Source organism: Homo sapiens, chromosome 15, assembly GCF_000001405.40.
Source record: "Homo sapiens chromosome 15, GRCh38.p14 Primary Assembly".
NCBI lineage: Eukaryota > Metazoa > Chordata > Mammalia > Primates > Hominidae > Homo > Homo sapiens.
This window is the reverse complement of record NC_000015.10, coordinates 48405604-48429400: the sequence shown is the minus strand read 5'-3', so window position 1 is coordinate 48429400 and position 23797 is coordinate 48405604. Positions and strand designations below refer to the sequence as shown.

Genomic DNA, 23797 nt, shown 5'->3' with positions numbered 1-23797 from the left:
TTTTTTAAACCTGGGAAACTGAGTTGTAGTTTATGATTTCTTAATAATATTGTTGAAATATTACAATAAATGCAACCTATATTGGAGATATAATCTAGGTTAATCTGAAGATTAATCTAGACAAACTCCCCCAGATCAATATTGACCATTACAGATATTATTCTAACATGTATTAAAATATTTCTTTCATATGCTGATATTCACATTTTTCCCTCCTTCACTTGAAATAACACTTTGAGAGTCCTTTTTATGTCCTAATATGAAAAGATTTAAATTTTACTAAGTGAAAAATGTAAGTGTGCATAAAATGCTACCATCTATGTTTAAGTATATAAAATGCTATCAGTTAGGCTTTTAAAAGATCTGAAGTGCACACACACATACACATATTATGTATGTATTTGCTTTTATATGCATAATCCAGCTCTGGAAGGATACATTAGAAATCGGCCCCAGAATTGGTTGCTTTTCAGGAGGGGAGTTTGGTGTCTGGGAAATAGGAAATGAAGGGGGTACTTTTGCTGAATCTCCTTTTGTACCTTTTTAATTTTGAACCATGTGAAGAGATAAGCTATTTACAAACTATATAGGAAAGAAGAAAATCTATTCTTCTATAAAAGATTCAGATGGCTCTTTCTGTTTTCAGTCTTTCAATGAAACCAAACAGTTAAGAATGAATTGAAGTCTCTTTTATACCTTTTAAATTTTGAGCCATGTGAACAGATTAGTGATTCAAAAGCTAAGTTAAGAAGGAAAGATGTGAGAGAGGGAAGGAAGGTGAGAGGGAGGGAAGGGAGGAAGGAAAGGAGAAAGGAACAAAGGGAGGGAAGGAGGGAGGGAGGAAGGAAGGAACGAAGGAAGGAGCTCCATCCTCTATAAAATGGTCAGATGACTCTTCTTGTTTTTGGTCCTTCAATAAAATCAAACAGATGAGAATGAATGTCAGACGAAGCCAGGGATCTGTGAGAATGGGCGCTGCCTCAACACCCGTGGGAGCTACACCTGTGAGTGTAATGATGGGTTTACCGCCAGCCCCAACCAGGACGAGTGCCTTGGTGAGTACAGTTGGCACCGCACTTTCCTAACCTCAGCCTCCACACTGGGATGCTGGAAACCCAGACTTCTTATTTAAAATACAAGAAAATGTCAAAATCTGAGGAAGGATAAAAAATGTTCATATTTTGGAGATGCCGTAATGACTGTGATTGTCCATTGGGCTCAGCACCACCCTGCAGCTAAATTCTTCCTTTGCTAATTGGATCCTGAATCACTTGTTTGGAATTTCTTGGCTGCCTTTGAAGCCCTTGGTGATCAGGATCCACTTCCGTATGTTTCTCTGCCCCTCTGTCTGTAAGCATGGCTATTCCCCTGTATTTCTGGGAGCAGAGAGAGTTATAAGCTTGTCTAGGCCAATGTCTTTCTGCCTACTTACTGAATGTCTTATTTGTTTCCCTCAGACGTCATCCTTTCTCTTTTACTGCTGTCTCCAGCTTTCCCCTCTTGCTTCTTCTCACCCAGGGTAAAGTGTTACATCCTTTTTTGGTTTTTATATCTGACCAAATTTTTAATATTTTGTTTGCTCTTAAAATTTCCTGACATCCCCTTTGCCATATAATGTCCCTTCCAGACAATCGGGAAGGGTACTGCTTCACAGAGGTGCTACAAAACATGTGTCAGATCGGCTCCAGCAACAGGAACCCCGTCACCAAATCGGAATGCTGCTGTGACGGAGGGAGAGGCTGGGGTCCCCACTGTGAGATCTGCCCTTTCCAGGGGACTGTGGCTTTCAAGAAACTCTGTCCCCATGGCCGAGGATTCATGACCAATGGAGCAGGTACTTCATTTATAGTCCAAAAATACTTGCAGGGAATCTATTTATTTGTTTTTTGTGTGAAACACAGATGAAAATATGGAGTTTGCAATATGTGCCTAGGTTGAATTGCACAGCTGAGGCCAACAAAAATTCTTCATTATGGAGTTTTAGACATTTGAGGTCATGCTGCCAAAGTGGCCTTGGTCCACTTGATTAAGCTGTGTGTGCTTAGGACCCTCCCTCTGCATTCCAGCGAGTCTTCAACTTTTTAAACCGTTTACTATAAGTCAATTGGCTACTCAGAATATAATTTTTAAATTTTTTAGATAAACTTTGAAATAAATGATTATTAAATGTGCAAACCAGTCCACCAAGATGTGGAACTCCTAAAACTGGCCAAACTGTATTGCATAAAAGAAGTATAAATCATGCTGATATCCTGGCAATTAGACACAATTGCATCTGGAAAAGCACAAGCTCCTTAACTAGAGCAGGATGAGGAAGTGTCAGACTGTCTAAGGCAACTCTAGAGATATCTAGGCCTGTCACCAATATGATTCCTGTGTTTATCAACTGTAACTACAATTGGTTTTTAGTTCATAAAAGGACTGAGAAAAGGTGAGAGCTTTTTTGAGCTTCTTGGGAGGGAATTAGAAGTGAAAGGGGAAGAAGGAGGTTAAGAAGGATTTGTGTTTGTATTGGAAAGATGTGGCTGAAGGCAGAATAATGGAACTGGATGTGATTTAAAAAAAAAGAAAAAACAGACCTAGAAAGGTAAGATGGAGTGACCAAAAGCAATTTATGATTCTTTGGAGGATGTAGCAATAAGATAGCCGAAAAAACTCACTTCTGGAGACCAATAAGAGTGTGCTAAATTGCACTTCAGAGTAGACTTGTAAAGGTCAGATACACCCAGCTGTTGGTATAAAATGGTTATTTGGCAGTCAAGGGCTGAGAACCCATGTAGAAAGTGCTTGTATCGGCACTTCGCCAAGCAGTAAGGAGGTAAAATGGGTCAAGATGTGGAAGACAGTGGTTTTAATGCTCAACAGTGCATATTGACCCAGTCTTTCTCTCTGTGGTACAGCCATGAGTGAGGGTCTCCCTTCCTTAGCAGGCTGCAAAAACCCAGCACTGTCATCCACCTCAGAGCCCTGGTTAGTTTCCCCCCTCACCAGAGGACAGAAGTTCATCTCATTTCCCCAATATTATGTAATTTGAACTTTTTCAGGATTAACCACAAAGACAACAAAAATAATGTAAAAACAAAAAACAAAAAACCTTACTTATTTTGAGCATGCAATACTAGGGGGTGGAAATGGGGTTTCCTCATCAAAAGGATCTGCTTCTGTGATTCATTTATTAGATGTCAGCAGGAGGCAAGCTTAATGGCATGAGATGACACAAAAAGCCAAATATGTCTAGATGGGGTGGCTGTTCTATGGATCCAGAAGAGAAAAATATACATTTAGAAGACCAGTTGTTTTTAAAGTTTTTCTGTGGCTGAATTATTTTATCAATTGTAGTCTAATGAAGTTATTTGTTTACCTTTTGATATAGCTACTGTTACATATTAAATTTATGCTGTCATCTTACTGGTTTAATTTCTTAGGCCCAAAATATAGTAACACAATTTATTAGTATTTACACTGAAGTGACCCCCTACATATTAATGTTGTCAATTTTATGATATATTTCTTAATTTATATTTGTTAAATTACAGATATCGATGAATGCAAGGTTATTCACGATGTTTGCCGAAATGGGGAATGTGTCAATGACAGAGGATCATATCATTGCATTTGTAAAACTGGGTACACTCCAGATATAACTGGGACTTCCTGTGTAGGTAAGTGTCTATTTCTGATGGCTTATCCTCAAGTGGAAATTTTAGATTATGGAAAAAAAAAAACCCAAAGCTAAAAATCTAAAAAGTCTGTGCAGTTTCATAGGAAAGCACAGGACAATCATCAAAGTCTACACAGAGTTTCCTTTTTCTTTCCCCGAAACTAAAATTCTTCGTTAGACCCTGTGGAAATTGAGCGTGTACACATCATTTTTAGATGCACAGTCACGCTGTATTTCTTTGATCATAGATCTGAACGAGTGCAACCAGGCTCCCAAACCCTGCAATTTTATCTGCAAAAACACAGAAGGGAGTTACCAGTGTTCATGCCCGAAAGGCTACATTCTGCAAGAGGATGGAAGGAGCTGCAAAGGTAAAGTAGAATTGACCATTGCCCCTCACCTAGCTCCTGACACATGGCTGCATTCCTTTGCCTGTAAGAACTCCACAGGCAAGCCGAAAGACCTGCTCTACAGGCAGGAGGTGCTTCCCTGGGGTTAATGCCTCCATGGGACCTACCTCCTGTGCTGGAGGGAAGGAGGCTAAAGCCAGGGAGATTGTGGAGGAAGCAGCTGTCCTTGCTGCATGCCCCCTGGGCATCCATGGTGGCCATCCATGACTGTCTCAGAGATAGCAGGGCCAGCTTCAATGGCTCTGGTGGGGCAGATTCTTAATTGGTGACCTCCTCTCTGCTTTCTGTTTTTTGTATTTATTCTTTATAGCTATATAGTTCAGGTTTCCAGGAAGGTCCTGCCTCGGAATAATCAGTGCCATGATCGTAGAGGACATTGTGCCTAATGAATTAGATGCTGTGTCCAGATTTTTGTTCTGCAGAAAAAGTCTATTTCTGCCCTGTAGGAGCTTCCCTGAGACATAAATATCACACAGAATTAAGAACCAGAAAAGCTCTGGGCAGAAATCCCTTCTCAACCAGAAGTTATCCTTTGCAAAATTTTTTTGGTTTAATTTTACTCCTGTAAACATCTTCCTCCACAATAAGAACATTATATTTAGTGAATAGCACTAGTGAGTCATACTTAACAATAATTTGGGAAATCAGAGATTTGGAGAAGAAAAGATAGACCAAGTGGTAGAGCAAGAGATATCATGTCATGCCATGAAACTTTGAAGGAAATTTATAGAAACATACAGAAGTAAGGAAGGTAAAGGATAGAGTGGAGTCTTTTTCCTATTTTTTCTCATAAAGCTTAAGTTCTTCCACTTACTTGGTATATATAACTAAATATCAAATGAATGATGCAGCTGTGTGTACCACTGAACTGAGAAGAGGCTAGAAGGGTGGAGGGTGGGACCAGCACATCCCCACGGAGGATCCAGATTGGAGGAGAGGAGAGGAGAGAAGTGGAGAGCAGAGAGAAGTTGGGCTCTTGACCTCTTTCCTGTGTCTGCTGAAAGGGAGAGTTAAGAGACATGTAATAGTGGATGACATCATGGGCAAGTGCCTGAGGCCTTCCTGTGCAGCACAAAGCCTGTATAATCCTGTAGTTTGGGGAGAGGAAGTTGAGAGACCTACTTACACATTCTAAACATCTTAAATGAAGTCGCTCATAGCTTTGTTCTTCTCAAATGTGGAACTTATTTTACATCTGGGGTCACTGTGAGTTCTAGGCAATGTGAAGCTATAACTCAGAGCCATAAATTTATTCATATAAATGAAGAACCAAATTCAAGGGGAAAATATCTCTCATTGTATATATTATCTGTAACAAGCAAAACAAATTTATAGCATTTTTTCTAACCTCTGGGGGCAGAAAATTCTCAAAAGTTTCCAGCAATTAAAAGATGAAAAATGAAAATGCATCAATAAAGTTCTCTTTATGGCTTTAGGAGTGCAAAGAGCAACTGTAATTTTTACATGTCCACTCACAACTTGTCCCTTTTCCTGTTTTTTCCCATAAGGTTCAAATTCTTCCACTTACTTGGTATATATAACTAAATATCAAATGAATAGTGCAGATAGTTGCACCACAGTCACTGAGAAGGAGGAAGCCAGAAGGGTGGCCGTGGGAGCAGCACATCCCCAGTGAGAGATGGGTAGAATGCAGATTAGAGGGGAGAAGAGGAGGAAGGGCATCTTGGAGGCAAGAGCAGCAAGTGCTGCTGTTCTTCATGTGTTGTACTCATGAAATGGTGTTAGGAGAAATCACTGAGTCATCTTCCTCACCTGTTGCAGGTGAGCTTCAGCAAATGTGTCATGATGCTCCAGCCAAGCTCCTTGGGCCATAGACAGGGGAAACCAGTCCACAGACTCTGAGAAAGCTGAACAGAGAGTGCATATCAGTCAAGATCTCAGCAGTGGAAAGAGCACAGGACAGGCAGCATTATAAGAGAAGCCGGAACTAGGACAGGTCTCGGGAGGGTCTCTCAGTGTAGGTCCACTCCAGATGTTACTCTAGCCAGGAACTGGCCCTGTGGAGTGGAAGCAGTCACTGGCAAAGCTGGCACTGATCTGCAGCTCCAAAGCAGTTGTGCAGATGGTGAGGGCATAGTGGTTGAATTTGTGATAAAATAAAGTCACTAATGTTTTTTCCTGAATATGCGACAATTTTAAAATTATCATTAAAGTTTAGCTAGAAGCTAGAACACAACATTTCATCTCTTGGTATTTTGAAATAACATTGGAGTTGAGAATGCAACTTAGAAGTTGAGGCGTTGAGAAAAGAGGCCTGGTCAAAGCAGAGGGTTTTATTGAGATGTGGGAAACAATGTTGGATAAACACTGCAGGCAGTTGTCAGTTTTGGATTTTTGTTTTTTTTGTTTTTTGTTTTTTGTTTTTGTTTTTGTTTTTGTTTTGAGACGAAGTTTCACTCTGTTGCCCAGGCTGGAGTGCAGTGGTGCGATCTCAGCTCACTGCAACCTCTGCCTCCCAGGTAGCTGGGATTACATGCACACACCACCACACCCAGCTAATTTTTGTATATTCACTAGAGACAGGTTTTGCCATGTTGCCCAGGCTGGTCTCAAACTCGTGAGCTCAAAGTGATCAGCCTGCCTTGGCCTCCCAAAGTGCTGGGAATACAGGCATGAGCCACCACGCTTGGCCTGGAGGCAGTTTTATTAAAAGTGCCTTTAGCTATTAAAATGAATTTTTCCTTTGCTTTGTTTCCTTCCTGATTGCTCAATTTTGGTTTATCCTAAGAAGAATCACGACTAAAGAAATCAGATTTTGTTTTTGATGACTTCATTTGAGTAGATTAAAAACAGCAAACAGAAGAGAACTAAGCCAGCAAATTCATTTCCAGCTTCAACATTTCTCTTTATGTTTTAACTTAAATAGATCTTTTCAAAGCTCTGGAAAATTTGCAGAATCATTCATCTTTCGCTTCATTTAAAAATTTGTTTAAAATGTCATGATTTATTTGAAATTCCTTTGTTGAGGAATTCCTGCATTTCTCCAATTAGAATTGTGTTTTCTTGGATCCCCTAAAGATCTCTTTATATTTTTTTGAGGGGAGGAGGGTCTAAATTGACACCTTGTTTTATCTTTCAGATCTTTACCCCCTGTGTCTCTCCTTGCCTTTTGCTGTGGCTTCTTTCTAGTCAGGGTCATTTGAGACCTCCAAATCAAACGTGGAGCTGCTTCATAGGGTCAGCTTCCCTGATCCTGTTTTGTTGGCTTGACTCAAATGCCTCTCTTGCATTTTCTTGTAGATCTTGATGAGTGTGCAACCAAGCAACACAACTGCCAGTTCCTATGTGTTAACACCATTGGCGGCTTCACATGCAAATGTCCTCCCGGATTTACCCAACACCATACGTCCTGCATTGGTGAGTAGGAGAGGAAAAAATCCTACATGGATTGTAGCGATTCTTTTAAGGGATTATTTTCTATTTCCTCTGCTGTTGGGATAAGAAAATAAAAGCTCAAAGAAATATATGAGTGCATGTATGTGTGAGCACACCTGTACATGTATGTGAAGCGTTGTTGGCCTTATTTGGCCTTTTCCGAGTTATCCTTCTAATTTTCTTTTAAATGATACAAAGAGAGCTTTGGGGAATTTTAACCCCTCTTTGCCCCCACTGCTTCTCATAGATAACAATGAATGCACCTCTGACATCAATCTGTGCGGGTCTAAGGGCATTTGCCAGAACACTCCTGGAAGCTTCACCTGTGAATGCCAGCGGGGATTCTCACTTGATCAGACCGGCTCCAGCTGTGAAGGTGGGTGGAGACTTCAGCTGCGATCCAGCTGGTGAATCCTTGTGGAGGTGGCCTGTGTGGCTATTGGCACCTTCATCATCAGCCTCTATGAGATAGCAGATCTGAGCCCAGGGGGGCACTCAGCTAAAATAGTGTGCACAGGTCCTGTATCTTAGAGAGTCGTGTTTTGTTTCATGCTTGATTGTGTCTAACACACATGCCTTTCCTAAGTATATCAAGACTTTTTCTGCTAAGTTTTTAATTTAACCTAATAGGGAATAACTCAGTCAAGAAAAATATACTTGATTTTGATTCATTAATTTTCTGGTCACTGGGTCCAGAGCCATAAAGGGATTTCCCCCATGTGGACTAAACATATGAGGAATAGCTCTTCTGATGACATTTAATTAGAAGTTTAAATGATATTTTTAGAAGTTGACTGTGGCTTTGACACGTTTTGGTTTCTAATTGTGGCACCAAAAATAAAAAAAAAAAAGAGCAAACACAAATAACTTATAACTTACAGAGCTGTCCCAGAGAGTGCTTTGGGCTTTGCACTAATTTCCTGACAATTTTTATTTGTAGACTTTGCCAGGGCTCTCTGAATGATTTTCTCCTTGGACTTAGCAGCAGTTCCAGAAGAGAGATTCTTGAAGTTTTTGGTGGTAGAATAATGTGTAGGATGTGTAGGGGCCAGATTTCTTATTAGAATCCATCTGGCTTCAGAGAGAGATGTTGAGTTGGCATCATGGTGGCTCTGCTTCTTTTTCAGACGTGGACGAGTGTGAGGGTAACCACCGCTGCCAGCATGGCTGCCAGAACATCATTGGGGGCTACAGGTGCAGCTGCCCCCAGGGCTACCTCCAGCACTACCAGTGGAACCAGTGTGTTGGCAAGTAACTTTTCCTCACTCTCAAGATGCATGGCTATCAGGTCCTATGAAGCAAAACACTGCTTGCTTTCTGAAGCTGTAAATGTGTTATTGAAGCAACAAATACTCATTTAAAATTGCCCTAACCTGGTTGAAACCCGAGGTAAGTAACAGTCTTTGCAAAACAGCAAACTAAGAAAAAAAATTATAATTGAGGGTGCTTTGAGAGCATCTGAAATGAAATGCCCCCAGAATTTCTTGAAGCGCAATATCCTCCACCCTCCCGCTGCACTGCTAGTCATCAGCCCACACTTGAGTTATGTTCATATCAGGGGTCAAAAAATCTTACTTATGACTGAAAAATATCAGCCAGCCAAAGGCTATTTTGAGTGGCTTTTGGCCTGAAGATGCCAAAGTAGTTCTGTTCAGCTCTACACATTTTGAGACAGAGCGCAAGCAGGAAACACAGCAAGGTTGTGTTTTTTTGTGTGTTTTGTTTTGTTTTGTTTTGTTTTTCAAGATTGCTAAATTCTTTTGATAATTAAGGGAGATCTACTGACTCTCTCATTAAATTGAAATGATGTCATCTTTGATTCTACAATGTCATGGGAAAATAACTCTTAATGCACATCAGAGAATCAAAACATTGTGAGTTTGGAGGGATACCAGAAGCCACTTAGCTCAGGCACTTTGTTTTACAGATAAGGACCTAGAAGTCCAGAAAGGGACGGTAATATTTCCTTGCCCAGTTCTTTTGTGACATGCTTGGAACTAGAACCCACAACTCTTAACTTTCTGATGTAGAGCTGCCTTTCAAGTGTCACATTCACTTGTTTATGTTCATTCAGCAAGCGTCTGTGAAGTGCCACTGCAAGCTTGGTGCTTTGGTAACCTGTTCTAGTTGCCACATTATTCTGTACAGAGCCCTCCTTAGCAAAAACTCAAAGAATTACTGCTTCCCGGGTGCAGGCTCTGCATTGCAGGGGTTCACTTTCATGCAGATGAAGACATATTTGGTGTGTTTTCATTTATCAAAATCATCTCTGTCATCTAGTTTGATTCTACACAAGACAGTTTTGCAGTGGCATGTAGGGTTGACTGAAGTGACCCCTGTGCTATAGGAGTTTCGACTGCGTGAGTCTCTGGCTAGCTATCTGGTTTTAATAAAAATGTCTTTGTTCATTAGCAGCTCAGGGAGGTCTTTGATTTTAATCACCAGTTTCTGACATTGTTCACAGAACTTCCAGAGTGAACTTTGTTGATTCAACACCCAGTTTATGAGCCTGTCTGTTCTCATTATTTAGGTCATTTTAATAACACTGGAGCTAAGTGAAAAAAACATAAGAGAGGAAAGGTATGTCGCTCCTGTACCTTATCCTCCTCCTCCTACCATCAGTCTGAGGATGGTAGAGGCGACCAGGCCATGCACTAGTGTCCTGGAGATTCTGCTCTGGTCTCGTGAAGATCATCTCCTGGCTGGACACTCTAAAAAAACAAGTTGATTTAGAAGTCAGAAGAAGTTTGGGGTTCTTAATGTCTCCAAATGCCAAATTGCTCTCATCAATCTTGAGAATTAGAGTTATCTAGAATGAGCATTGCCGTGGGCTAAAATAGCTTCCCCAGAACCACAAGAAACAGAGCAGATCTCTTAGACCAGCCCTCCCTGGATCCTCACTCCCAGGTGGCTGGAAGTTCACTCTTTGGGGTAAGAGGGCCACTAATTTCATTGCTTTCTAGAAGTAAATTTCAAAAAATTCAGCTTGCAGATAGATAGAGTTGACCCATTTTCCCCTAGAGAAAATGAGTAAAAGAAAGCCCATCCTGCATTTGTGAAGTTTCCTATCGGTACTCCCTTAAGGCCACAGCTAACATGAACAGTGCAAGCTGGATGCTGAAACCTTTGATTTTAGAGGACAGAGTGGTGGGTTTCAATCCACTTTTAAGGAGTAGTTTTCAGACTTTAATGCTATTTTGGTAAAATTCGAATTGTCTCTTTTTATAAAACAAACAAAACCCTCACCAATCTAAGTACCAACTGGAAGAATAAAACAAATATTTTGGAGTGTAAAAAAATTCCTTGTGGAGTCATTTGCTCCAGAGTGCAGAGGATGAAAAAGGTCAGGAAAAGTGCAAAACATGTTAACCAAATCGTGGTGTTTGTATATTGATAAAAAGGGCGAGTGCACAAACATGCTGTTTTCAAACTGTAAACACTGAATATTTGCCAATTTCTTATTTTAATCTGTGCTCTACTCCATCCTACCTCTCCAACCTAGATAAGCAAGTTTAATTTAAACTTTATTAAATTCTCAGGGAAGGGAGAAAATGTAAAATAAAATTTAAAAGAATGTGAAAGGAGAGGGGGAGAACTCTTGATAGTTGTAGTAACACAGATAGATGCTCAAAGTTAAAAAGAACCTTAGAGATCTAGCCTTCTCTCTTTCCTAATATATAAATCCTTCTCTAACTTCCTTGCTTATCCCAGTTTGGCTTAAATACCACCTTGAAGGGTGCCCACTTTCTCCCAAGATAGCCCAATCTATGTATAGACAGCTTTTAATACTTAGAAATGTCTTTTTTTGCTATAAAAAAAATCATTTCTCCTCCCTCTAATTTCTCACCATTGGTCCTACTTCTGCTCTTTGGAGGAAAAAACACAGAATAAATCTAAGCTATAGAATGACAAGTCTTCCCCCTCATATACCCACGCCTTGCAGGTTTTATTAGTCAGGGTCCCAGCAAGAAGCAGATGGCTGAGGCCAACCAAAAGTGAGGGACAGGGGAGCAGAGCTTGCTCATGCTCCATAGATCAGCCACCTGGGGCCAAGAGCAAGTGGAGAGGATGGAGGATGGACGTGGAGGAGCAAGAAGACATCAGCCCAGGGGTGTTCTCTCCAATGAAGTAAATATGCTTCGTTCTTCATTCTTTGTTTGACATGGAGCTTGGTGCCAGTGGTTTCTGTTGCTCTCTATTGCACACTTCGTCCTCAATTTAAAATAAGGAGAAAGAACACAGATAACGTGTTGAGCACAGAAAGAGAAAGGGAAGAATGAGAAAGATAAAATTATTATTTATATTTTAAGAGCCCTGGAGCCTAAGTGACCTTGGGTGAAGACTTGAAGGTCTTTGGATACAAAAGATTTTCAGACAGGCAGTTAAGATCAAAGACCTGTAGCTGAAGGGAAGGAGGGAAAGAGAGAAGGAAGGAGGGGAGGAGAGAAGGAAGGAAGGAAGGAAAGGAAGGAAGGAAGGAAGGAAAGGAGGGAGGGGAGGGGAGGGGGGAAGGAAGGAAGGAAGAAAGGGAAGGAGAGAAGGAAAGAAGGTAGGAGGGAAGGAGACATGGAAGGAGGGAAGGCAGGCAGGCAGGCAGGTAGGAAATGTGAATATATACTAAGTATATACAAGTGAGCATCCTTCCCCACCACTTTTATCCACCTGTTTTCTAATTTAAAAAAAAAGAAAAAATAGATTTGTTGAGAAACATTATTTTTCTTTATAAATGAATGTGCCTTAGCAAAGAAGGTAAACTAATTACAGGAGAAAGGAAGCACCAGCTTAAATGTGGAGCGTCTCTTGAGAGGCACTGTGGTATAAAGGAAAGCGCATGGATGGCCTTTGCAGTCCAACAGACCTGGCTGTGAATTTCTGCCCTGCTGCTGCTGGCTGTGAGATCTTGGAAGAGCTTTCTGAGCCTCACTTTCTTCAGCTGTAAAACAGAGAATATAATACCTCTTTCTCAGGATTGTTAGGAAAGCTAAGGAAATGGTCAATACCTGTATCCTATCTATCATAAAATAGGTATCTAATAAACATTCATTCCCTTCCCCTTCCTCTCTTCCATAGGAAGTGGTTATTCGCTAAGTGAAGAGAAGGCCAATCTATCTACATTCAAATGAACGTATGCCTGAAAATGGACTATGGCAGTTAAGAAATGTCTTACCAGCAACTTTCCAACCTGCCCTGCAAAGGCAGATCTACAAAAATATATTAGAGACTTCCAAAAATTATAAATCAGAAATAATGAGAAACTCATGGTTTTCCCCCTTCTAGCTGATTTTTTTAAAGTAAGATTTCTTTTTCCTGCTTCTTAGCATCAGACTTGGCAGGTCCCTGTGGGTAGCCAGCCCTGCAGCTTCTGTCTCACTTGTGGGTTTTCCCCAATTACTGCTTGTGAAGTCTGCACCAAATCTCTTCCAGCCACACTTAGTTTTAGACAGGGCTCAGACACTCTGGGCAGGAGGCTGGTTTGAATAAGGAGGGGGCCGATTCGGTGATGGGAGCAGACATACCAGAAGGCATTATTCATCTCCCAGAACAGGTACCTGGGGGCTTTTGCAGAATTTTGAAAAGGAAGTCCAAGTGGGGCAGACACGTGGGGCAGACACTTGGGGCAGGATATCAGCCTTTGCCAGATCAGCATATCCTGAAATAGGCTGACAGGGAAAGCAGCCTGCGGGAAAATGGTTGGTCTCTGCTTTTGAGAGATTTGTCTCCTCGCTGGGCACTTGTGAAGCAAGTACGCAGAGAACTGCAAGATTCCTTTCCTCCCCCCTTGAACCCTAAATCTTAGCTACGGACCAGCCCCATGTTGGTTCATGACCGGATGTTTACATGGAGCAGAAGATACCAGTGTTGACTTCTGATGAGAACTGGAGTCTGCTGGTCCTCAGAATGCCATCCTCTAATGCCCTCTGCCTGGTGCATTTGACTTCATCTTCCATGTTTCATCTTCCATGTTTACTCACAACATAGCAAGAAGCCACATCCATGCCCGCATCTTTCTCTGCTGTTGCTCTCCCCACCCAGCCACCTCTGCCTGTCTTACCTTCCTGAGAGCCTAGCTGAGGGCCAGCTGGCCGGCAGCAAGTGGCCAGATCCAATGTCCTCAATAGAAATCTCTGGCTGCTGCCACACATGCCGCTTCTTATTTTGCCTGCAGATGAAAACGAATGCCTCAGCGCTCACATCTGCGGAGGAGCCTCCTGTCACAACACCCTGGGGAGCTACAAGTGCATGTGTCCCGCCGGCTTCCAGTATGAACAGTTCAGTGGAGGATGCCAAGACATCAATGAATGTGGCTCTGCGCAGGCCCCCTGCAGCTATGGCTGTTCCAATACCGAGGGCGGTTACCTGTGTGGCTGTCCACCTGGTTACTTCCGCATAGGCCAAGGGTAAGCAGTGCTCTTCCTGGTCATGGTTGGAGATTCTTTCATTCGTAATATAATTAAGTATACTGAACTCAAAATTACCTGTCCTAGCAGAGGAGAACCATGCTTTTTGTAATCCTAAAATTAATTCCAGTTAGCTTGGCAAAAGTTTTAGGTTATTTTATTTGGAAGGAAGCATCTGGATTTCTGGAAACGTCAAACAAAGTAATGAAACTACATTGTAAATATCTCGCTATATGACTTCTCTATCTTATTCTCTTGATCTTCACATCTTGTTGGGAAGTGATTCATCTCTCTGTAAATACACCTCTCTGCCAACCCATGACAGAACTGGGCTCACCCTGCACACGACTGATCCACTCTTCTCCTGGGGCAGGGAGGATTCTATCTGGACTTAAAATGCCTTTGTATCTAGCTCCTGTTAGAATAAGTCAAAGACATCCCTTTGGGTTGAAAATTATTTAGGGTTTTAAATTATATTTTACATTTCAGACTTGAATTTACATTAAATTTTACCAAAGGTGCATTGAAACACTTACTGTATTTTCCTGGTTAAAAAAAGAAAAACAAAAAAAACACTTCACCAAATTATAGGTGTGTCTGTGTGAGAGTTGGGGCAGGGAAGGCCTTTTTTTTTTTTTTTTAGACGGAGTCTTGCTCTGTCGCCCAGGCTGGAGTGCAGTGGTGCAATCTCAGCTCACTGCAAGCTCTGCCTCCCGGGTTCACGCGATTCTCCTGCCTCAGCCTCTGGAGTAGCTGGGACTACAGGTGCCCGCCACCACGCCCGGCTAATTTTTTGTATTTTTAATAGAAACGGGGTTTCACCGTGTTAGCCAGGATGGTCTCGATCTCCGGACCTCGTGATCTGCCCGTCTTGACCTCCCAAAGTGCTGAGATTACAGGCGAGAGCCACTGTACCCGGCCGGGAAGGCCTATTTTTATTTTACCCAGTGATTTAAAAGTTTAGTGTTAAGTTTTCAAAGTTTGGATCTTTTTTCCTGCTGAATTAATCTGGACTCGGGTGTCCACCTAGTTTTAGCTATCCTGAGAGGAAGTGCACATTTTAACTTTTTAATTAGGAACACATAGACATTAAATATATATATACATTATGTACTCCTCCACATGCGTGTACACACACACCCCCACACACATCCACACTTATACCAAATTATTAATGTAGCAGTCTTTGATTTCTTGACATACAAACATCAAGTGATTCATTTTGGATCTGGGTAGGTAGAAGAATGTTTCGTGGGAAGCACACAGAATGCCAGCAATCAGACACAAATTCCCAGATGTTTGTGTCTGGCTCTCAGTAGACTCATTCTTTATAGTTTAATGCCAGAACCATTTCTTCCCAGCAAAAATTGTGACACTCTAAACTGGCTTTTGGCCAGTGGGATTTTGTAGTCACACTTCTTATAAGTGGTGCTCCCGGGATATGAAAATACTGGAAAGGAGTTCTGAGAAAGGAACCAAAGCCTGCAAATTTGCAGTTTACCTCCTAATAATTTAATCATTGTGTGAATGTATACGCATGCGCACACACCCACAGGATGAGCATTTATCACTTCATCCATTGTATTGTTTCTACATATTTCATGTTGCAAGATAAAGAGGAAAGGAAATGTATTGGACTCTGGCAAGATTGGGGGAAACAGTAGGAACCTATAAACTGCTTTGAAATACAACAGATATTCTGTTCATTGGCAACATATTTTGAATCCTAAGGGTATATAGGAAAATTAGTTCTAAAGAGCAGATCAGCTATTACAGAAAAACAGATAAATAATTTTTGGTCTATATTATGACCCATTGTTAGAAATCTACCCATTTAAAACAGTTTTGGCCTCTCCGAATCACTAGAATGGACTCTGCCCCCAAATAAAGATTCTTTTAAGGACCATTCAAATGTTTCAACACATTTGGAAAGAGGAGCTTGATAAATACACATTCCAAGTGGCCTCTGAAATAGTAAGCAGAATAACAAAACAAGGTACTTGTGAAACATTCGAGCCTCCCTCCGTAACTTGGCTTTGATAACTGAAAGGCAAAGAAAAACAGCTGAACGAGTTCTCTCTTGGGCATGGGTTTGTTTATCCATCTTCACATGAGTCGGAGCCAGTGGCCCTAGTGGTTTTGAATGACTTGAAACAGTTTCCCACAGTTGGGCAAACTCTGATACATGCATTTTATATACGGCATATCTTCATAGTTTATTATTAAATTAACCTTCATTATCAACCGGAGCTTTCTTCTTATCCTCAGTAGCATAAGCAAAAGTGAAACGTCAAGGAATAGGAGCAATTGCTCCAAAGCTTGAGTGAGGAAAAGTAATGATGGAAGTGGGAGAATGCAAGAAACTCAACAGTGATGTCTCACACCTTGCTCACTCCCATGGAGCCTGTTTCATAAAAAGAAGCCATTTTTATTTAGCCTCCCAAGTTACATGGCCTCCCTCATCTACTATTCTCTTGTTTCCACTCTGTGTCTCCTCCCCAGTATAAGTACTGCAAAATGCTTTCCATGTTAGGTTTGGGAATGAAGAGATAAATAAATATCCAAGACAGGGTCTTGATAGGCAGTAGAAGGAAATCAATACATTCAGGGAACTGGGAATTAGAGGCCAAACAGAGGACCTCAATGTAGTTCTCAGAACTAGCTGATCCTCCAGTGGACAAGCAAGGGCTGTATCTCACAACTGCAAGGAACAGGCTTCACCAGAACTCTTGTACCACCTACCTTGTCTTCCCATTCTAATGAAAAACATCTATGCTCCCCTTCTGCTGCAGGCACTGTGTTTCTGGAATGGGCATGGGCCGAGGAAACCCAGAGCCACCTGTCAGTGGTGAAATGGATGACAATTCACTCTCCCCAGAGGCTTGTTACGAGTGTAAGATCAATGGCTACCCCAAACGGGGCAGGAAACGGAGAAGCACAAACGAAACTGATGCCTCCAATATCGAGGTGGGTCAGAAGTTAGTTTCTCCTGATGTCTCCTGTGGTGGAAAGCCCTTCCAGATTCCTGTGGTTTCCTCCAAGGATGCTCCAAAGTGTGAAAAAGCTCCCCAGGGAGAAACTCCAGACATTCCCTGAGCTCTAGGCTGTATTTTACAAGAGGCTGTGGGGCTTTCTGGAGTTTCTTGCTGCTTTTCGGGAGTGGCCATTTGAAGGTTTTCACATACTTGCTCATTTCCTCTGTCTCGCCAAAAAAAAGTCAAATACCCACCCAAAGTCTGCTGAAAGGATAAGGTCTGAGATCCAGGACAGCAAGTGGGCAGAATAGCGAAGTGACATAGTGCTCCCTACATAGGAATGCCAAGTTCTGAAAGCTAGAGGCTCCTCTACTGAAAAGAGCCATGTGGAGTGTGAGGGAACTTGGATTGTAGACAAAAATAACGTGGAGCTGAAGCAGCCTGGTTTCCTTTGCCTACGGCTGCTGCAGCCTTTCAGTCAACTCAGAAGTGCACAGATATTCACCCAGACCTCTGGCTCTGGGCCCATAGAATCCAGCACATGTGGTCCCAGAGAGGCAAGTAAGAAGCCAGGTGAAAAGCATTGAATATTAGCAGATCATCACAGTCAGGAAGTAGGCTCATAGGTGTGTCCTTAGGAGAAGATGGTTTTACGTCAATGAATCAAATTGAAATAGTCTGGTTCTTCGTATTGGTGCTGCAACCCATCTGCTGTCATTTAAGAAATGAGATAAGTCTTTGGAAAGAACATAATCTATTAAAACAGTGGTTCTCAAACTTTAGCATGCATCTGAATCACCTACTAGGTCTTGTTAAAATTGATTGTTGGGAGACATCCCAGGGTTTCTGATTCAGTAGTTCTGGGGTGATGCCGAGAATTTGCATTTCTAACAGATTCCCAGGTGATGCTGATGCAGCTTGTTCAGGGACTACATTTTGAGACCTCCAGATACAAATGATTTCAACCTGCCTTTCTTCCTGACATCAGTTAATATTTTCAAATATTACAAATATGTGCCAATTTAATACACTTGTGGTCTAAACAAAATGCTTTCAATATTGTGTATGCAGCATAAGGCAGAAAATTGTATTAGTGTGAAATTTGAGTCATTTTTTCTTTAATATGAGAGCTAAGTGGCATATGTACATTGTATTTAACATATTGCCATGTGTCTTTCCAGGATCAGTCTGAGACAGAAGCCAATGTGAGTCTTGCAAGTTGGGATGTTGAGAAGACAGCCATCTTTGCTTTCAATATTTCCCACGTCAGTAACAAGGTTCGAATCCTAGAACTCCTTCCAGCTCTTACAACTCTGACGAATCACAACAGATACTTGATCGAATCTGGAAATGAAGATGGCTTCTTTAAAATCAACCAAAAGGAAGGGATCAGCTACCTCCACTTCACAAAGAAGAAGCCAGTGGCTGGAACCTATTCATTACAAATCAGTAGTACTCCACTTTATAAAAAGAAAGAACTTAACCAACTAGAAGACAAATATGACAAAGACTACCTCAGTGGTGAACTGGGTGATAATCTGAAGATGAAAATCCAGGTTTTGCTTCATTAATTCACCATCCAGAGACCAAATAATTAAAAGAAAAACAAATATAGATAGGTAGAACTATATTTTCCCCCAATCAGAATCATCATATCATAGGTACAATCTTTCACCAAGTAAATTTGTATAAATAAGCACTATTCTTTGTATTACCAAAGCAAGGTACAGGTGACTACCCTAGTTCAAAACAACCACTTTCTCAGGCTTCTCATGTGTGTAGCTAAGCTACCTTGTCATATGTGTTGATTCTTGAAAACTGGGACGTGTATTTCCATTGGGGGTTGGCCATTTATGCTGACATGCCATCCTTCCAGCAAACGTACGGGAATGTGCTTTCAATTGATGGACTACTCTATTTTTTGCAAATTTGTAAACTTTGCTTCTCCAAATACAAGTACTAGGTTGTCCATTTATGGTACCTATTTGGTGCTAGTAAATTTTCAAACTAGATTTATAAATGCACTGTAATATGTACACAACTTAGAAACCAAATTACAAGTATTCAGTTCCAATACTTCATTAATTTCAATCAACCAAAGTTAGTTCAGTAGCTTATCTCAGTTATGAGTATAATACATTACATGTAAATTAAGTGTGTGTATACTGTAATCGTGCTATTTTTTATCATTGAAACATTTATAAACTAGAATAATAATGCCCTTAATGTGAGGGTTTGTAATGGTGCTTATTAAGACCAAAGACTTGTTAAATGTATACACCAAGTGGTAATGAAATTTCGGTGACTGGCCCACACGTGCATAGAGGTCTGGGAGGACCAGGAAACAGCCTCAGTGGCCAGAGGATCACCAGTGCATCCTTCATCACAGCATGTGCAATATGCCAAGATTACCCTCGGTCATTCCTGTCAACAAGGGGTCAATGTCATAAATGTCACAATAAAACAATCTCTTCTTTTTTTTAGTTTACCCCTTGGCTTTGTGTTCTTGCATGGATTTGGGGTTGGAGGGGCCATTCCGGAGGCTAAATAAAGTCTCCTGGATTTAAATTATCCTGGGTCTCTTACTTATGGCTTATGAAAGTACCAAATGTATAACCACTAGAAGAAAATTTAACATATGAGTCGATCCCTTGTTTTATCCATTGAAAGTAGCAGAGTCTGGTGTCATTAACCTGACTTGCTTGTGAGAAATTTAGATTGTAGAGTCATTTCTGAAACATGACCTAATTCATCTTGTGACTTTTAAATAGTCTTAAATACCAAGTTCAGTCATTGTCTTAGAGCACATGAATTTCATTATAATAGATTTATCATGCCCCCCTCTCAAATATACACAGTTTTGGCAAGCCTTAGGTGTTCTGTTCCATTTTTTTTTCCCCTAAACATCTTTCGTTAGTCAATGCTCATCTAATTACAAAGGGATAATCCCAGACTGTATCCAATTGCTGTAACTTTTGGTTTCTTAATGTCATAATTTTTAAAGTCTGTTTTATTTTAAGTGCAATATTGAGTATTTAGCTGTTAGGCTCAATCCGTCGATATGAAATAATTTTTTAAATCCCTAAGGGCAGGAAAGCATTTCGTGGTAGTGAAAATAAGAGGAAATAAGATGGCATGAAGGTGGTGGGCGGAGAAACTAGGTAGGACACAGGAAAGTGCTCTCAAAAATCTTTGAAGAGCTCAGCTGAAAAAAATGGAGTAGATTTGGCTCATACTATTCCGGAAGGCAAAACCAGGGTCAGCTGATGTCAGCCCCAGTTTAATACACACGGTCCCAATTATAGAGCTACTCACTGAAAGAATGGGTTTCCTTGCATTGTGGTGAGCTCCCTGTCACAAGATAGAAGAGTTTCAGTCTAGGCTTAATGGCAACCATTGGACAAAGATGCTTTCTTCCACCTAACAGGCCATTAACATCTTAAAGGTATTTTTGTATCTCTAATTTTGTTTATAATAGGTGCTCAACAGAATGAGCTGAATGGCTGTTACAAAGGGGGTTTGTACCTTGGGTAAGAGATTAAAATATAACTCAAAATTTCCTTCTAACGCTGCACCTATGGAACCATGTGATAGAGGTGTATTAAAATTGTTATCGAAGAATATATAGCATATGGTAAACAACAGTTTGCATATGGAAAATGTCTTTGATAATTTAACCAGAACTGCATTATATTCAATAACGGATTTTCTTTATAACAAACAACAGGGGAAAATGGAGTTGGCACACAGTGGATCACTTTGATATTTTTAATAGTCCAAGTCTGGATTTTATTTATTCCTGAGCCAACAATTTTGAACAGCATATTTTCCATGTTTCTGACTGTAACAAAACATTTTCCTCATTGTTCCATTGTAAATATTCCTCTTGTTGGAACTCTTTTTAATCCTGAGATTTAAACCTGTACCTTTCAATTGTCTGTGACCTTTCAATTTCACTTTCAATAGTTGAAGAACTTGGCTTTGTAAATCTCTCAGAAGCTTGAAAATATCTTGTCTCTACCCCCTCAGCCCATTTCATTTGCCAATAATTATTTTGTAAGTAGGGTTGAAATGAACTCAGCTGGCCTTGTGAAATGTTTAAACTTGCACAAACAACTACATTTTTGTTCAACAAATAGCAGTTTACTCAGCCAAAATCACTTTGGATATTGCCATTACAAATACTGTTAAACTTCAGAAATCATGTCTGTAAATTAGATGAGCCAAAATAAAGGACAATTGGGTTGATGCTGCATTAGTATCCTTAAAAGTTATATACCCATAAATGTTAGGGATTTTAAAATTACCATCAACTTGGTCCACAGAATATATTTTATTCTGGTTTTAACTGTAGTTCTTAGAGAACTGTATTAGAAATGTAATTATTAGGAATGTAATTATTAAATGATTTAAGGACATTGTTTTTAAAGTTAGAAGATCATTACTGGCAGAAATATTAGTTTCACATTTATAGCTGAAGACAGATATTTACCCCTTGCCAATTTAAAATAACACTTTGTAAAAAAGAGAGAAGAAAAAAAAAACAATTTACTTCATTATGCTTTTTTTGAAACCCAGTATGAGCCTGACATTACGTATGAGTTAGGAAAGGATGATCTATATTATTCTGAGTGTTAGGGTTGGAGAGATAGAAAAGGGCTGTACACTTGACTTTGCAAATTTCCATGTATATTCATGACTGGTTTTATTCACAGGATTGGATCTCAGTTAAAGACATTCTCACAAATATCTGCATAAACATGAGGGTCTTGTACATTTGACATGCATTTGGCAAGACCTGACAAAAATCACAAAATCTGTTGTTTCAACTAACTGCTAATAAATCTAAAATGGTTTCTTTTTTTCAAACAAAGTCATAAACCTTGTTTTAGGACATAGGTTGCTTTGAATCCTTGATTCAAACCTGAATTATGGCTGGGCACTGTGGCTGATGCCTGTAATCCCAGCACTTTGGGAGGCCAAGGTGGGCAGATCACTTGATGTCAGGAGTTTGAGACCAGCCTAGCCAACATGGTGAAACCCCATCTCTACTGAAAACACAAAACGTAATCAGGCATGATGGTGCGCACCTGTAGTCCCAGCTACTCGAGGGGCTGAGGCAGGAGAATTACTTGAACCCAGGAGGCGGAGATTGCAGTGAGCTGAGATTACACCACTGCACTCCAGCCTGCATGGAAGAGTAAGACTCCATCTCAAAAGAAAAAGAAAAAAAAAATCTGAATTATAACTTCTACAAATGGATGTCAGTTTCATTTTTTACTGTTGGATGGTAGAAGGACTGAACCAAGTTATAGCAGGTAAGTGGATGCGATTTCTGGCTAGCTCCACCCTCTGCTATCTCTTCATTGTGATTTTTGATCTTTGTGACCATCCCCATTTCATAAATGAAGGCAAAATTATCCTCTCTGTGCTCCCCTGTGCCCCCTGTGGGTTGGTTATGGTGTCAGCTAGAAGGCATCAAGCCTTCCAAGTACTTCTGGAATCCATAGCTTGGGTTCAAATCTAAGCAACACAGAGGTGGAGATTTTAAGCAAAAAGCAGCTGCTCCATTGAGCATTTCCTAACTTTCATATCCCACCTGATGTATTCTTTGCAGCTGTGCTGGGAGTTGCAGAAATAAGAAGAGATCTGTTTCCTTTTTACCCTGAAATACTCTCTTGGGGAGAATTAAATCAAACCTACATGATCAACCTTTTTCTTCTCCTGGAAATGGAGACATTTGAAAACATCCTGATGATAATCACACATCCCATCAGTCCTACTAGACAGTGACAGAGGTCACAGGCCTTTGTAGTTGTGTCTACGTGGTGAACTCTGCTCTGCGTGGCCCCACCAGCTCTGCTATGGAGGCCAGACCTGTCAGAAAAGATTAATGAGACCTGAATATATCAGAATTTCCAAGGCTCAACAGACTAGATTGGGTTTGTGTCTGTGTATTTTTGTAACTACATGAAATCAGCACGATGTGCTGTTTAGCCTTTCTGTCTTCAGCTGTATGGAGATTATCCCTCTTTGGGCAGTCCCATGATCAGGCGGGGTGGCAAGCTCCTCCCTGAGGCCTGCTGCTTCCTGCGCCTTTGTGGCTTGGCTTCCGTGGGCTCTCTGGTGGGTCATTCACAGGAGGTGTGGTGCCTCCAGCTGGGGAGTCAGTGTGCTGTTTAACCAGCTCCCCAGGAGAAAATGGCTCCCGATCTCATGCCCACATGTTCACCCCCACAGGCCTCACCCCTACCAGGAGAGGACACGGAAGCCAGGTGCACCATCCTTAAAGGCTGATGCTTTCAGCCTTGATTTTTTTTTTTCCTAGCGTCAGTGATTCTTCATTTACAGAGCTTTGACCTTTCCGTGAGCTGCAAAGAAAGTTCACTGAGAGCTCATTTTGCTCCTGAGGAGTGCCTGCCTGAGAGTCCTGATACTGCAGGACATCTGGGGTCAGAAAGCTGTGCTCAAATCTTAGTTCCATCCCTTTCTAGTTATTCCACCCAGGGCAACTCCTTGATGTCTCTGAGCCTTATTATTGTGGATAATAGTAACACCTTCCCTATGTCCTTGCTGGACCATTATTACCCACTATATATAAAAGTCTAATACTTCTGTAGAACTTCACAGTTTTAACAAGCACTTGTGAACTGTGACCTCTGATCCTCAATCCTCACCTCAATCCTAGATTTTTATCATCCTAATCATGCACAAGTTGGGGTCTCTTGCCAAAGGTCTCTCACCCTAAAGAGTTGGAACTGAGAATAAAAACTCCAGATCTTCTGACAACACAGTGCATACCCAGTTCACTGTGCTTGCCAGAAGAATGAATAAAATGTAACACAAGAAAGTAAAATAGGAATCTGTAAGCTACAAATTATATTGTGATTCAAGATCTAGGCTTCTCTCTGCTCTTCTAGAAACCAAGAGAAGGCCAAGGAGAGAGTGGGCCATACC

At 40.9% G+C, this 23797-nt stretch overlaps 1 protein-coding gene across 2 annotated transcripts in view, besides 1 other annotated feature; it reads left to right on the top strand.

The window, feature by feature from the left end:
• The window catches only part of FBN1 (fibrillin 1), a 237397-nt gene extending 216309 nt beyond the window's left edge, over positions 1 to 21088 (top strand). For both annotated transcript variants that reach the window (NM_000138.5, NM_001406716.1), the window contains 10 exons: positions 930 to 1055; positions 1628 to 1834; positions 3537 to 3662; positions 3910 to 4032; positions 7333 to 7449; positions 7715 to 7843; positions 8595 to 8714; positions 13634 to 13865; positions 16658 to 16832; positions 18022 to 21088. In NM_000138.5, the coding sequence (NP_000129.3) occupies positions 930 to 1055; positions 1628 to 1834; positions 3537 to 3662; positions 3910 to 4032; positions 7333 to 7449; positions 7715 to 7843; positions 8595 to 8714; positions 13634 to 13865; positions 16658 to 16832; positions 18022 to 18411 (1745 nt within the window). In that variant the 3' untranslated portion in view covers positions 18412 to 21088. The remainder of the gene's footprint in view (positions 1 to 929; positions 1056 to 1627; positions 1835 to 3536; positions 3663 to 3909; positions 4033 to 7332; positions 7450 to 7714; positions 7844 to 8594; positions 8715 to 13633; positions 13866 to 16657; positions 16833 to 18021) is intronic.
• Positions 13161 to 13661: an enhancer, noted in NCBI's record as "H3K4me1 hESC enhancer chr15:48707937-48708437 (GRCh37/hg19 assembly coordinates)". NCBI's record gives its function as "activates a minimal SCP1, AML or CMV promoter by ChIP-STARR-seq in naive H9 embryonic stem cells {active_cell/tissue: H9 hESC(naive)}" and the evidence as "EXISTENCE:reporter gene assay evidence [ECO:0000049][PMID:30033119]".